At 41.5% G+C, this 15,762-nt stretch overlaps 2 annotated features.

Annotated features, from left to right (window-relative positions):
• Positions 14,262-14,762: an enhancer, noted in NCBI's record as "H3K4me1 hESC enhancer chr7:23884587-23885087 (GRCh37/hg19 assembly coordinates)". NCBI's record gives its function as "activates a minimal SCP1, AML or CMV promoter by ChIP-STARR-seq in naive and primed H9 embryonic stem cells {active_cell/tissue: H9 hESC(naive and primed)}" and the evidence as "EXISTENCE:reporter gene assay evidence [ECO:0000049][PMID:30033119]".
• Positions 14,763-15,263: an enhancer, noted in NCBI's record as "H3K4me1 hESC enhancer chr7:23884086-23884586 (GRCh37/hg19 assembly coordinates)". NCBI's record gives its function as "activates a minimal SCP1, AML or CMV promoter by ChIP-STARR-seq in naive and primed H9 embryonic stem cells {active_cell/tissue: H9 hESC(naive and primed)}" and the evidence as "EXISTENCE:reporter gene assay evidence [ECO:0000049][PMID:30033119]".

Genomic DNA, 15,762 nt, shown 5'->3' with positions numbered 1-15,762 from the left:
ATCAAACCCTGGCCTTTAATGAAAAGAATGCGGCTTTAGCTGCAGCCCAAAAGTTTGGAGATACCTGGTATCTTAGTCAAGTAAATGACAAAATGACAGCCGAAAAAAGGGAAAATTCCCTACCGGTCAGCAAGCCATCTCCATACTGGGACCTCAACTCAGATCATGAGGACTGGAGTCGTAAACATCTGTTGACCTGTGTTCTAGAAGGACTAAGGAGAATTGGGGAAAACCCATGAAATACTCAATGATGACTACCATAACTCAGGGAAAGCAAGAAAATCCTTCTGCCTTCCTCGAGCTGCTACAGGAGGCCTTAAGAAAATATACTCCCCTGTCACCCGACTCACTCGAGGGTCAGTTGATTCTAAAAGATAAGTTTATTACCCAATCAGCCGCAGACATCAGGAGAAAGCTCCAAAAGTGAGCCCTGGGCCCTGAACAAAATCTGGAGGCATTATTAAACCTGGCAACCTTGGTGTTCTATAATAGGGACTAAGAGGAATGGCCCAAAAGGAAAAGCGAGATCAGAGAAAGGCCACGGCCTTAGTCATGGCCCTCAGACAAACAAACCTTGGTGGTTCAGAGAGGACAGAAAATGGAGCAGGCCAATCACCCGGTATGGCTTATCAGTGTGGGTTACAAGGACACTATAAAAAAGATTGTCCAATGAGAAACAAGCCACACCCTTGTCCATGTCCGCTATGCCAAGGCAATCACTGGAAGGTGCACTGCCCCAGAGTGCAATGATTCTCTGGGCCAGAAGCCCCCAACCAGATGATCCAACAACAGGACTGAGGGTGCCCAGGGCAAGCACCAGCTCATGTCATCACCCTCACTGAGCCCCAGGTATGTTTAACCATTGAGGGCCAGGAAATTGACTTCCTCCTGGACACTGGCACGGCCTTCTCAGTGTTAATCTCCTATCCTGGACAACTCTCCTCAAGGTCTGTTACCATCCGAGGAATCCTGGGACAGCCTGTAACCAGGTATTTCTCCCACCTTCTCAGTTGTAATTGGGAGACTTTGCTCTTTTCACATGCCTTTCTTGTTATGCCTGAAAGTCCCACACCCTTATTAGGGAGGAATATATTAGCCAAAGCTGGAGCTATTATTACATGAATATAGGGAACAAGTTACCCATTTGTTGTCCCCTACTTGAGGAGGGAATCAACCCTAAAGTCTGGGCATTGGAAGGACAATTTGGAAGGGAAAAAATGCCCGCCCAGTCCAAATCAGGCTAAAAGATCCCACCACTTTTCTTTATCAAAGGAAATATCCCTTAAGGCCTGAAGCTCATAAAGGATTACAGAATATTGTTAAACATTTAAAAGCTCAAGGCTTAGTAAGGAAATGCGGCAGTCCCTGCAACACCCCAATTCTAGGAGTACAAAAACCGAACAGTCAGTGGAGACTAGTGTAGGATCTTAGACTCATCAATGAGGCAGTAATTCCTCTATATCCAATTGTACCCAACCCCTATACCTTTCTCTCTCAAATACCAGAGGAAGCAGAATGGTTCACTGTTCTGAACCTCAAGGATGCCTTCTTCTGTATTCCCCTGCACTCTGACTCCCAGTTTCTCTTTGCCTTTGAGGATCCCACAGACCACATGTCCCAACTTATGTGGACGGCTTGCCCCAAGGGTTTAGGGATAGCCCTCATCTGTTTGGTCAGGCACTAGCCCAAGATCTAGGCCACTTCTCAAGTCCAGGCACTCTGGTCCTTCAGTATGTGGATGATTTACTTTTGGCTACCAGTTCGGAAGCCTCATGCCAGCAGGCTACTCTAGCTCTCTTGAACTTTCTAGCTAATCAAGGGTACAAGCGTCTAGATCGAAGGCCCAGCTTTGCCTACAGCAGGTCAAATATCTATGCCTAATCTTAGCCAGAGGGACCAGGGCCCTCATCAAGGAATGAATACAGCCTATACTGGCTTATCCTCACCTTAAGACATTTAAACAGCTGCAGAGGTTCCTTGGAATCACCAGCTTTTGCTGACTATGGATCCCTGGATACAGCGAGATAGCCAGGCCTCTCTATACTCTAATCAAGAAGACCCAGAGGGCAAATACTCATCTAGTGGAATGGGAACCAGAGGCAGAAACAGCCTTCAAAACTTTAAAGCAGGCCCTAGTACAAGCTCCAGCTTTAAGCCTTCCCACAGGACAAAACTTCTCTTTATATGTCACAGAGAGAGCAGGGATAGCTCTTGGAGTCCTTTCTCAGACTCGCGGGACAACTCCACAACCAGTGACATAACCTAAGTAAGGAAACTGATGTAGTAGCAAAAGGCTGGCCTCACTGTTTACAGGTAGTTGCAGCTGTGGCCGTCTTAGTGTCAGAGGCTATCAAAATAATACAAGGAAAGGATCTCACTGTCTGGACTACTCACGATGTAAATGGCATACTAGGTGCCAAAGGAAGTTTATGGCTATCAGACAACCACCTGCTTAGATATCAGGCGCTATTCCTTGAGGGACTGGTGCTTCACATACACATATGTGCAGCCCTCAACCCTGCCACTTTTCTCCCAGAGGATGGGGAACCAATTGAGCATAACTGCCAACAAATTATAGTCCAGACTTATGCCACCCGAGATGATCTCTTAGAAGTCCCCTTAGCTAATCCTGACCTTAACCTATATACTGACGAAAATTCATTTGTAGAGAATGGGATACAATGGGCAGTTTATGCCATAGTTAGTGATGTAACCATACTTGAAAGTAAGCCCCTTCCCCCAGGGACCAGTGCCCAGTTAGCAGAACTAGTGGAACTTACCTGAGCCTTAGAACTGGGAAAGGGAAGAAGAATAAACGTGTATAGAGATAGCAAGTATGCTTATCTAATCCTACATGCCCATGCTGCAATATGGAAAGAAAGGGAGTTCCTAACCTCTGGGGGAACCCCCATTAAATACCACAAGGAAATCATGGAGTTATTGCATGTGGTGCAAAAACCCAAGGAGGAGGTGGCAGTCTCACACTGCTGAAGCCATCAAAAAGGGGAAGGAGAGGAGAAAACAGCAGCATAAGTGGCTGGCAGAGGCTGGGAAAGACCAGCAGAAAGGAAAGACAGAAAGAGACAGAAAGAGAGAAAGAGGAAGAGACAGAGACAAAGGAGGAAAAAAGAGAGAGGAAGAGACAGACAGACAGAAAGTCAAAGACAGAAGGAGAGAGAGAGAGGAAGAGACAAAGAGGGAGTCAGAGAGAGAGAAAGAGAGAGACAGAAAGTCAAAGACAGAGGAAGAGACAGACAAAGGGGAGTCAGAGAGAGATAAAGAAGTCAAAGAGAAACAAAGATGGAAGTAGTAAAGAAAAAACAGTGTACCGTATTCCTTTGACAGCCAGGGTAAACTTAAAACCTGTAATTCATAATTGAAGGTCTTCTCTGTGACCCTATAACACTCCAATACCACCTTGTTGTCAGTGTAAACAAGGGCATAGCCCAAAAGCACTGAGGCCACTGACAACCTGTAGCCTTCCTATCAAAAATCCTTAACCTAGCAGGTTTCCTAACAGGGGATCTAAATCTTAATTAATTACCATACAAAGGTCCAACCAGACCTAGGAGGAACTGTCTTCAGGACAGGACTATAGATGCTTCCTCCCAGGCGATTAAGGGAAAAAGACACAATGGGTATTCAGTAAGTGATAAGGAAACTCTTGTAGAAGCAGAGTTAGGAAAATTGCCTAATAATTGGTCTGCTCAAATGTGCGAGCTGTTTGCACTCAGCCAAACCTTAAAAGTATTTACAGAATCAGGAAGAAGCCATCTATACCAATTCTAAGTTAATATGGACTGAACGAGAACTTATTAATAGCAAAGAATAATTGAAATCCCAAACTTACAAGGTTTTCAACAAAAGCACAGTTTGCTAAAAGTTAACTGTGTAACATGTATTATCCTACTACCACAAACTCTCAAATGATTTCTCAGACAGTTTGCAAGAAACAATGAAACCTATCCTTACTCTACAATCCCAAATAGACTCTTTGGCAGCAGTGACTCTCCAAAACCACCAAGGCCTAGACCTCCTCACTGCTGAGAAAGGAGGACTCTGCACCTTCTTAGGGGAAGATTGTTGTTTTTACACTAACCAGTCAGGGATAGTGTGAGATGCCACCCAGCGTTTACAGGAAAAGGCTTCTGAAATCAGACAATGCTTTTCAAACTCTTATAGCAACCTCTGGAGTTCGGCGACATGGCTTTTCCCCTTTCTAGGTCCTGTGACAGCCATCTTGCTATTACTCGCCTTCGGGCCCTGTATTTTTAACCTCCTCGTCAAATTTGTTTCCTCTAGGATCGAGGCCATCAAGCTACAGATGGTCTTACAAATGGAACCCCAAATGAGCTCGACTAACAACTTCTACTGAGGACCCCTGGACCGACCCACTGGCCCTTTAACTGGCTTAAAGAGTTTCCCTCTGGAGGACACTACAACTGCAGGGCCCCTTCTTTGCCCCATCCACTAGGAAGTAGCTAGAGCAGTCATCACCCAATTCCCAACAGCAGTTGGGGTGTCCTGTTTAGAAGGGGGATTAAGAGGTGAAGCCAGCTGGACTTCCTGGGTTGAGTGGGGACTTGGAGAACTTTTCTGTCTAGCTAAAGGTTTGTAAACACACCAACCAGCACTCTGTAAAAATGCACCAAGCAGCACTCTGTGTCTAGCTAAAGGTTTGTAAATGCACCAATCAGCACTCTGTAAAAACAGACCAATCAGCACTCTGTAAAATGAACCGATCAGTGCTCTGTAAAATGGACCAATCAGCAGGATGTGGGCAGGGCCAAATAAGGGAATAAAAGCTGGCCACCGGAGCCAGCAGCAGCAACTCACTCGGGTCCCCTTCCACACTGTGGAAGCTTTGCTCTTTCGCTCTTCATAATAAATCTTGCTGCTGCCCACTCTTTGGGTCTGCACTACCTTTAAGAGCTGTAACACTCACTGCGAAGGTCTGTGGCTTCACTCCTGAAGTCAAGCAAGACCACGAACCCACCGGAAGGAAGACACTCCAGACACATCTGAACATCTGAAGGAACTCCAGACACACCATCTTTAAGAACTGTAACACTCACCACGAGGGTCTGCAGCTTCATTCTTGAAGTCAGCAAGAGCAAGAACCCACCGGAAGGAACCAATTCCGGACACACTACAGCTCAAGGTCATCACCAAGATCTGGTTTTTCACAAAAAACATTTGCAACTTCTGGCACAAATGGGTTAGCTACATCAGAGATACTTAAGGTACTTGTTATACATATAGATTCCCAAGTCCTATCTCTGATGTACTGAGGCAGAATCTCTAGGTAGAGACAATAGGGAGCTGCATTTTTAATAAGATAGTCAGGTGACTCTTACATAGATTTAGGCTTGAAAATCACAAACCAGAAGATTCCATGTGAGTCACACACAGTGGGATTAATGGAAAATAAGGAAACAACATAGATGCCTGATAATCAGGAGTCACTCAAATATTTATTGAAATAACACATACATATGACTTTTCCTTACATAACAGCTTTTCACAATCTAAGTCACTTACCATAAAATTTGCCCTTTTAAAAAAATAAATAGTTCAGTGACTTTTAGTCTATTCAGAGTTGTGAAATGATCACCACTATATAACTAGAGAACATTCCTATCTCACACACACACACAAAAAGATCCTATGCCCATTAGCAGTCATTCCCTCTATTCTCTCCCATCCCCAATCACCAAGCTACTTTCTGTCTGTACAGATTTTTCTTCTGTGTGCCTTGGCCATCATTTCCCAGAAAACTTTTGTCTAGCCCAAGGTCACAAAGATTTATGACTCTATATATTCTTCTAAAAGTTTCATAGTATTAGCTTTACATTTATGTTTACTAATCATTTTGAATTAATTTTTGCCTATAGTGTGAGATGGGATTTCAACTTCATTCTTTTACATGTTGATATGCAGTTGTCCCAACACTATTTGTTGAAAAGACTTTTTTCCTTATTGAATTGTACTGGTACCTTTGTCAAAAATCAACTAACCAGATATATAAGAGTTTATTTACATATATGTAAATAGAAACAGAAACTCTCAATCCTATTCCATGGATCTATATGTCTATCCTTATACCAGTACCACACTGTCTCAATTATCTTTGCTTTGCAGTAAGTTTTGAAATTAGAAGTGTTATTCCTCCTACTTAGTTATCCTTTTTCAATATCATTCTGTCTATCCTAGGTCCACTTGTAACCAACTCAAGTCTGGCTGCTCACTGCTCAGAAGTCAAAGCAGGAGAAGCAAGCTGTGGTAAAAGGAAAGTAGCTTTTCTTGATCATGCTAGCAGATGGGAGAATGGCCAAGCTCAAGCCTCAGAGGAACCATATCAGCCTTTTGGGATAAGTAGGGGGGTTTCAGAAGGAAAACTTGGTGTGGAAAATATGCAGGAGTGGTGCAGGAGGGTACAGGTTTGCATATCTTGGCTATTTTAAGTAATTGCTTGTCTGAAGGTCCAGACTGCATCATCTTGACTTCGCCCAGTGGTGGTGGACTAATCGTTCATAACTCCCCCTAAGTGGGAGGATTCCACAGCTGTGTCTCTATGCCTGCTTTGTTTCAAAATTAGCCTCTGAAATTTCTAAGTGAGCACATAATTAGATAAGTGAGCACTGTGCACAGAGTGCCTGGTGGAAAAGGGAGAGAAATTAAGAGTTTTAAAGTACAAGGCTACATTTAAAGTACAGGGTTATATTCTGAGATTAGAAAAGAAGGGGAAAAAAGTTTCAAAATGCATTTTCAATCTAAGCTACTCAGTTACACATTCAATTTCCACATGAATTTTAGGATACGCTTGCCAATTTCTGTAAAAACAGAAGCAGAGATTTTTACAGAGACTGCACTGGATCTCTAGATAATTGAAGAGTATTGCCATCTAGTATCTTCCAATCCACTAACATTTCTTTCAGTTTATTTAGGTCTTCTTTACTTTATTTCAACATGTTTTGCAGTTTTAATGTGCAAGTCTTATACTTCTTTTGCCAAATTTATACGTACACTTTTTCCTTTTTGATGCTATTATAAGTCAAATTTTTAAATGTCATTTTCATATTGTTCTAGTTCACTTTCATATTGTTGCATTTCTATAGAAATGAATTTTTGTATACTGATTTTATAAACTACAAGCATGCTGAACGTATGAGTTCCAAAGTTTTTTGTGTATTCCTTAAGATTTTCTATATACAAGATCATGTCACCTGCAAATAGCAACAGTTTTACTTCTTCCTTTCCAATCTGGATGCCATTTATTCCTTTTTCTTGTCTAATTGCCCTGGATAGAAACAACACTACAATGTTGAATAGAAATGGCAGGAGTGGACATTCTTTTCTTGTTCTTTATCTTATGGGCAAGCATCCAGTTTTTTACCATGAAGTATAATGTTAGCTATGAATTCTTCGGCTATTTTTAGTTTGTTTAGTGCTAGCTGTGGGTTCCTTGCTATTTTTCATTTGTTGAGTGTTTCCATCATAACAGGGTGATGGATTTTAAGTGCATTTTCTGCATTTATTGAGATGATCATAGGTTTTTGTCTTTATTCCATTAATATAGTGTAAATACAGTGATTGGTTTTCAAATACTAAACCAGCCTTGCATTCCTGAGACAAATGCTACATGTTCATGGTGTATATTCCTTTTTAAATGTTGCTAGATTCAGTTTGCTAGTATTCTGTTAAGGATTTCTGCACCTGTATTCATAAGACATTTTTGTAGTTTCCTCTTCTCGCGATTTGTCTACCATTGGTATCAGGGTAATATTGGCCTTATAGGATGAGCTGGAAAGTGTTCCTCCTCTTCTGTTTTTCAGAAGAGCTTGTGAAGGAATAGTAGTAGCTCTTCTTTACATGTTTGGTAGAATTCACCATGTAGTCATCTTGGCCTGTGTTTTTCTTTGTAAGAATTTTCTAATTACTTATTCCCTCTCTTTCCATGTTACAGGTCTCTTTATATTTCCTACTTCTTGTATCAGTTTTATAGGAATATAACCTTTCTAGGAATTTGTCCATTTCATCGAGGTTCTCTACTTTGTTGGCATGCCATTGTTCATAATATTCCCACATTATCCTTCTTATCCCAATAAGTGTGTTAGGCTGTACTTGCATTGCTATAAAGAAATACTTGAGACTAGGTAATTTATAAAGAAAAGAGATTTAATTGGCTTGAAGTTCTGGAGGCTGCACAGGAAGCATGGTGCTCGCATCTGCTTGGCTTCTTGGGGAGCCTCAGGGAGCTTTCAATCATGGCAGAAGGCAGAGAGTAGAGCCAGCATCTTACATAGTGGGAGCAGGAGCAATGAGCAGGACAACACCCAGAGGATGGTGCTATATCATGCAGAAGAAATCTGCCCCCATGATCCAATCACCTCCCACTAGACCACACCAATATTGGGGACTACAATTCAACATGAGATTTGGCAGAGACTATATACTCAGAGTCACAATACCCCCTATTTGGAAGATCAATATTCCTTATATATCACTTAGGTTTATAGATAAGCCCTTTCTTTCATTCTTCATTTTAATAATTGGAGGGTCTTGTCTTTTTTTTCTTAGTCTAGCTAAACTTTTCCCAATTTTGCTGATGTCTTCAAACAACCAACTTTTGGTTTTACAGATTCATCTCTATTTTTTTATTCTTTATTTCATGTGTTTCCTCTCTCATCCTTATTATTTTCTTCTTTCTGCTCACTTTGAGTTTAGTTTGCTCTTATTTTTCTAGTTTCTTTTTTTATTATTATACTTTAAGTTCTAGGGTACATGTGTACAACGTGCAGGTTTGATACATAGGTATACATGTGCCATTGTGGTTTGCTGCACCCATCAAACCGTCATTTACATTAGGTATTTCTCCTAATGCTGTCTATCCCTCTCACAGCCCCCTACCCCCCGACAGGCCATGGTGTGTGATGTTCCCCACCCTGTGTCCAAGTGATCTCATTGTTCAATTCCCACCTATGAGTGAGAACATGCAGTGTTTGGTTTTCTATGCTTGTGAGAGTTTGCTCAGAATGATGGCTTCCAGCTTCATCTATGTCCCTGCAAAGGACATGAACTCATCCTTTTCTATGGCTGCATAGTATTCCATGGTGTATATGTGCCACATTTTCTTAATCCAGTCTGTCATTGGTGGACATGTGGGTTGGTTCCAAGTCTTTGCTATTGTTAATAGTGCCACAATAAACATATGTGTGCATGTGTCTTTATAGAAGCATAATTTATAATCCTTTGGGTATATACCCAGTAATGGGATTGCTGGGTCAAATGGTAATTCTAGTTCTAGATCCTTCAGAAATAGCCACACTGTCTTCCACAATTGTTGAATTAATTTACAATCCCACCAACAGTGTAAAAGCATTCCTACTTCTCCACATCCTCGCCAGCATCTGTTGTTTCCTGACTTTTCAATGATTGCCATTCTAAATGGCATGAGATGGTATCACATTGTGGTTTTGATCTGCATTTCTCTGATGACCAGTGATGATGAGTTTTCATATGTTTGTTGGCTGCATAGATGTCTTCTTTTGAGAATTGTCTGTTCATATCCTTTGCCCACTTTTTGATGGGTTTTTTTTTCTTCTAAATTTGTTTGAGTTCTTGGTAGATTCTGGGTATTAGCCCTAGTCAGATGGGTAAATTGCAAAAATTTTCTCCCTATCTGTAGGTTGCCTGTTCACTCTGACGGTAGTTTCTTTTGCTGTGCAGAGGCTCTTTAGTTTAATTAGATCCCATTTGTCTATTTTGGCTCTTGTTCCCATTGCTTTTGGTGTTTTAGTTATGAAGTCCTTGCCCATGCCTATGTCCTGAATGGTATTGCCTAGGTTTTCTTCTAGGGTTTTTATGGTTTTAGGTCTAACATTTAACATCTTGAATTAATTTTTGTATAAGGTGTAAAGAAGGGATCCAGCTTCAGCTTTCTACATATGGCTAGCCAGTTTTCCCAGCACCATTTATTAAATAGGGAATCCTTTCCCAATTGCTTGTTTTTGTCAGTTCTGTCAAATATCAGATGGTTGTAGATGTGTGGTGTTATTTCTGAGGCCTCTGTTCTGTTCCATTGATCTATATATCTGTTTTGGTACCAGTACCATGCTGTTTTGGTTACTGTAGCCTTGTAGTATAGTTTGAAGCCAGGTAACATGATGCCTCCAGCTTTGTTCTTCTTGCTTAGGACCGTCTTGGCAATGCAGGCGTTTTTGGTTCCATGTGAACTTTAAAGTAGTTTTTTCCAATTCTGTGAAGAGTCATGGGTAGCTTGATGGGGATGGCATTGAATCTGTAGATTACTTTGGGCAGTATGGCCATTTTCATGATATTGTTTCTTCCTATCCATGAGCATGGAATATTCTTCCATTTGTTTGTGTTCTCTTTTATTTTGTTAAGCAGTGGTTTGTAGTTCTCCTTGAAGAGGTCCTTTACATCCCTTGTAAGTTGGATTCCTAGGTATTTTATTCTCTTTGTAGCAATTGTGCATGGGAGTTCACTCATGATTTGGCTCTCTGTTTGTCTGTTAATGATGTATAGGAAAGCTTATGATTTTTGAACATTGATTTTGTATCCTGAGACTTTGCTGAAGTTGCTTATCAGCTTAAGGAGATTTGGGGTTCAGACGATGGGGTTTTCTAAATATGCAATCATGTCCTCTGCAAACAGGGACAATTTGACTTCCTCATTTCCTAATTGAATACCATTTATTTCTTTCTTTTGCCTGACTGCCCTGGGCAGAACCCCCAACACTATTTTGAATAGGAGTGGTGAGAGAAGGCATCCTTGGCTTGTGCTGGTTTTCAAAGAGAATGCTTCCAGTTTTTGTCCATTCCGTATGATATTGGCTGTGGGTTTGTCATAAATAGCTCTTATTATTTTGAGATTCCTTCCATCAATACTTAGTTTACTGAGTGTTTTTAGCATGAAGGGCTGCTGAATTTTGTCAAAGGCCTTTTCTGCATCTATTGAGATAATCATGTGGTTTTTGTCATTGTTTCTGTTTATGTGATGGATTATGTTTATTGATATGGGTATGTTGAACCAGCCTTGCATACCAGGGATGAAGCCAACTTAATCATGGTGGATAAGCCGTTTGATGTGCTGCTGGATTTGGTTTGCCAGTATTTTATTGAGGATTTTTTCATCGATGTTCATCAGGGATATTGTTCTAAAATTCTCTTTTTTTGTTGTGTCTCTTCCAGGCTTTGGTATCAGGATGATGTTGGTTTCATAAAATGAGTTAGGGATGACTCCCTCTTTTTCTATTGATTGAAATAGTTTCAGAAGGAATGGTACTAGCTCCTCTTTGTACCTCTGGTAGAATTTGGCTATGAATCCGTCTGGTCACGGACTTTTTTTGGTTGGTAGGCTATTAATTATTGCCTCCATTTCAGAGTCTGTTATTGATCTCTTCAGAGATTCGACTTATTCCTGGTTTAGTCTTGGGAGGATATATGTGTCCAGAAATTTATCCATTTCTTCTAGATTTTCTAGTTTATTTGCGTAGAGGTGTTTATAGTATTCTCTGATGGTAGTGTGTATTTCTGTGGGATTGGTGATGATATCCCTTTATCATTTTTTATTGAATTTATTTGATTCTTCTCTCTTTTCATTAGTCTTGCTAGTGGTCTATCAATTTTGTTGATCTTTTCAAAAAACCAGCTCCTGGATTCATTGATTTTTTTGAGGAGTTTTTTGTATCTCTATCTCTTTCAGTTCTGCCCTGATCTTAGTTATTTCTTGCCTTCTGCTAGCTTTTGAATTTGTTTACTCTTGCTTCTCTAGTTCTTTTCATTGTGATGTTAGGGTGTCAATTTTAGATCTTGCCTGCTTTCTCTTGTGGGCATTCAGTGCTACAAATTTCCTTCTACACACTGCTTTAAATGTGTCCCAGAGATTCTGGCACATTGTGTCTTTGTTCTCATTGGTTTCAAAGAACATCTTTATTTCTGCCTTCATTTCATTATTTACCCAGTAGTCATTCAGGAGCACATTGTTTAATTTCCATGCAGTTGTGCGGTTTTGAGTGTGTTTTTTTTTTTTTTCAAAGGAGACTCACTCTGTTGCCCAGGCTGGAGTGCAGTGGCATGATCTTGGCTCACTGCAAGCTCCAGCTCCCAGGTTCACACCATTCTCCTGCCTCAGCCTCCCAGGTGGCTGGGACTACAGGCACCCACCATCACACCTGGCTGATTTTTTGTATTTTTAGTAGAGACAGGTTTTCACTGTGTTAGCCAGGATGGTCTCGATCTCCTGACCTTGTGATCTGCCTGCCTCAGCCCCCCAAAGTTCTGGGATTACAGGCGTGAGCCACCATACCCAGCCTTGAGTGAGTTTCTTAATCCTGAGTTCTAATTTGATTGCACTGTGGTCTGACAGTTTGTTGTGGTTTCTGTTCTTTTACATTTGCTGAGGAGTGCTTTACTTCCAATTATTTGGTCAATTCTACAGTAAGTGAGATGTGGTGCTGAGAAGAATGTATATTCTGTTGATTTGGGGTGGAGGATTCTGTAGGTGTCTATTAGGTCTGCTTAGTGCAGAGCTGAGTTCAGGTCCTGGATATCCTTGTTAACCTTCTGTCTCGTTGATCTAATATTGACAGTGGGGCGTTAAAGTCTCCCACTATGGTGTGGGAGTCTAAGTCTCTTTGTAGGTCTCTAAGGACTTGCTTTATGAATCTGGGTTCTCCTGTATTGGGTGCATATATATTTAGCATAGTTAGCTCTTCTTGTTGAATTGATGCCTTTACCATTATGTAATGGCTTTGTCTCTTAAGGTCTTTGCTGGTTTAAAGTCTGTTTTATCAGACTAGGATTGCAACCCTTGCTTTTTTTTGTTTGTCTGTTTTCCATTTGCTTGGTAGATCTTCCTCCATCCCTTTATTTTGAGCCTATGTGCGTTTCTGCACGTGAGATGGGTCTCCTGAGTACAGCACACTGATGGGTCTTGACTCTTTATCCAATTTTCCAGTCTGTGTCTTTTAATTGGGGCATTTAGTCCATTTACATTTAAGGTTAATAGTGTTATGTGTGAATTTGATCCTGTCATTATGATGTTTGCTGGTTATTTTGCCCATTAATTGATGCAGTTTCTTCATAGCATCGATGGTCTTTACAATTTGGCATGTTTTTGCAGTGGCTGGTACCAGTTGTTTCTTTCCATGTTTAGTGCTTCCTTCAGGAGCTCTTGTAAGGCAGGCCTGGTGGTGACAAAATCTCTCGGCATTTGCTTGTCTGTAAAGGATTTTATTTCTCCTTCACTTATGAAGGTTAGTTTGGCTGGATATGAAATTCTGGGTTAAAAATTCTTTTCTTTAAGAATGTTGAGTATTGGCCCCCTCTCTTTTCTGGCTTGTAGGTCTAGGGTTTCTGACGAGAGATCTGCTGTTAGTCTGATGGGCTTCCCTTTGTGGGCAACTCGACCTTTCTCTCTGGCTGCCCTTAACACTTGTTCTTTCATTTCAACCTTGGTGAATCTGACAATTATGTGTCTTGGAGTTGCTCTTCTCAAGGAGTATGTTTGTGGCATTCTCTGTATTTCCTGAATTTGAATGTTGGCCTGCTTTGCTAGGTTGGGGAATTTCTCCTGGATAATATGCTGAAGAGTGTTTGCCAACTTGGTTCCATTCTCCCCATCACTTTCAGGTATACCAATCAAATGTAGATTTGGTCTTTTCACATAGTCCCATATTTCTTGGAGGCTTTGTTCATTTCTTTTTACTCTTTTTTCTCTAACCTTGTTTTCTTGCTTCATTTCATTAATTTGATCTTCAATCACTGATACCCTTTCTTCCACTTGATCGAATCAGCTATTGAAGCTTGTGCATGTGTCATGAAGTTTTCGTGCCATGGTTTTCAGCTCCATCAGGTCATTTAATGTCTTCTCTACACTGTTTATTCTAGTTAGCCATTTGTATAATCTTTTTTCAAGGTTTTTAGCTTCCTTGCGATGGGTTTGAACATCCTTCTTTAGCTTGAAGAAACTTGTTATTACCGATCTTCTGAAGCCTACATCTGTCAACTCGTCAAAGTCATTCTCCATCCAGCTTTGTTCCATTGCTGGTGAGGAGCTGCAATCCTTTGCAGGAGAAGAGGCACTCTGGTTTTTAGAATTTTCAGCTTTTCTGCTCTGGTTTCTCCCCATCTTTGCGGTTTCATCTACCTTTGGTCTTTGATGTTGGTGGCCCACAGATGGGGTTTTGGTGTAGATGACCTTTTTGTTGATGTTGATGCTATTCTTGCTTGTTAGTTTTCCTTCTCACAGTCAGGATCCTCAGCTGTAGGTCTGTTGGAGTTTGCTGGAGGTCCACTCCAGACTGTTTGCCTGAATATCACCAGAAGAGGCTGCAGAACAGCAAATATTGCAGAACAGCAAATACTGCTGCCTGATCCTTCCTCTGGAAGCTTCGTCCCAGAGGAGCAGCTGCCCATATGAGGTGTCTGTCGGCCCCTACTGGGAGGTGTCTCCCAGTTAGGCTACAGGGGGTCAGGGACCCACTTGAGGAGGCAGTCTGTCCGTTCTCAGAGCTCAAATGCCATGCTGGGAGAACCACTGCTCTCTTCAGAGCTGTCAGACAGGAACGTTTAAGTCTGCAGAAGTTGTCTGTTGCCTTTTGTTCAGCTATCCCCTGCCCACTGAGGTGGAGTCTAGAGGCAGCAGGACTTGTTGAGCTGGGGTTGGCTCCGCCCAGTTCGAGCTTCCCAGCCACTCTGTTTACCTACTCAAGCCTCGGCAATAGCAGAGGCCCTTCCCCCAGCCAGGCTGCTGCCTCGCAGATCCATCTCTAGACTGCTGCACTAGCAGTGAGCAAGGCTCCATGGGCGTGGGACCTGCCGAGCCAGGCATGGGAGAGAATCACCTTGTCTGCTGGTTTCTAAGACTTTGGGAAAAGTGCAATATTTAGGCAGGAGTGACCCATTTTTCCAGGTAGTCTGTCACGGTTTCCCTTGGCTAGGAAAGGGAAATCCCCCAACCCCTTGCGCTTCCCAGATGAGGCAACATCTCGCCATGCTTCAACTTGCCCTTGTGGGCTGCACCCACTGTCCAACTGGTCCCAGTGAGATGAACCAGGTACCTCAGTTGGAAATGCAGAAATCACCTGTCTTCCACGTCGATCACGCTGGGAGCTGCAGACTGGAGCTGTTCCTATTCGGCCATCTTTTCATATTTTTCTAGTCTCTTGAGGTGAAAGGTTAGGTACTGATTGAGATCTTACTTTTTAACATAGGCTTTCTCTGTATGCACTGCTGTGGCTGCATAAGTTTTGATATGTTTTTGTTTTCATTCATCACAAACTATTTTATAATTTGCCTTATTTCTATCTATGACTTTTGATTATTTAGGAGTATGTAGTTTAATTTTCATATGAAAACTGTAAATTTTCTAAATTTCCTTACTGATTTCTAATTGCATCCCAAAGTGGCTAAAGGATATGCTTTTTATGATTTAAATCCTTTTAAATTTATTAAGGCTTTCTTTAGTCCAAGATAGTGGATAGGAGGCAGGACTAGCATGCCTCTCCCATTTGGACAGACAGAATAGTGCGTGAAGATTCAGATTGTGAACTTTTGTTCCTAGAACCAATGCAGGAATGTATCAGGAAAACTGAAAGAATTCACAGATCCTTTTAAAGAAGTGGCACACCACTGCAAACTCCATGAAATATGTGAAAAACTGAGTTCCCAACGTGTGAGAGAGGGAGAACTGGCTGGGCATGGTGGCTCACACCTGTAATCCCAGCACTTTGGGAAG

This window comes from Homo sapiens, chromosome 7 (genome assembly GCF_000001405.40).
Source record: "Homo sapiens chromosome 7, GRCh38.p14 Primary Assembly".
Taxonomy (NCBI): domain Eukaryota; kingdom Metazoa; phylum Chordata; class Mammalia; order Primates; family Hominidae; genus Homo; species Homo sapiens.
This window is presented reverse-complemented; position numbering and strand designations above follow the sequence as displayed.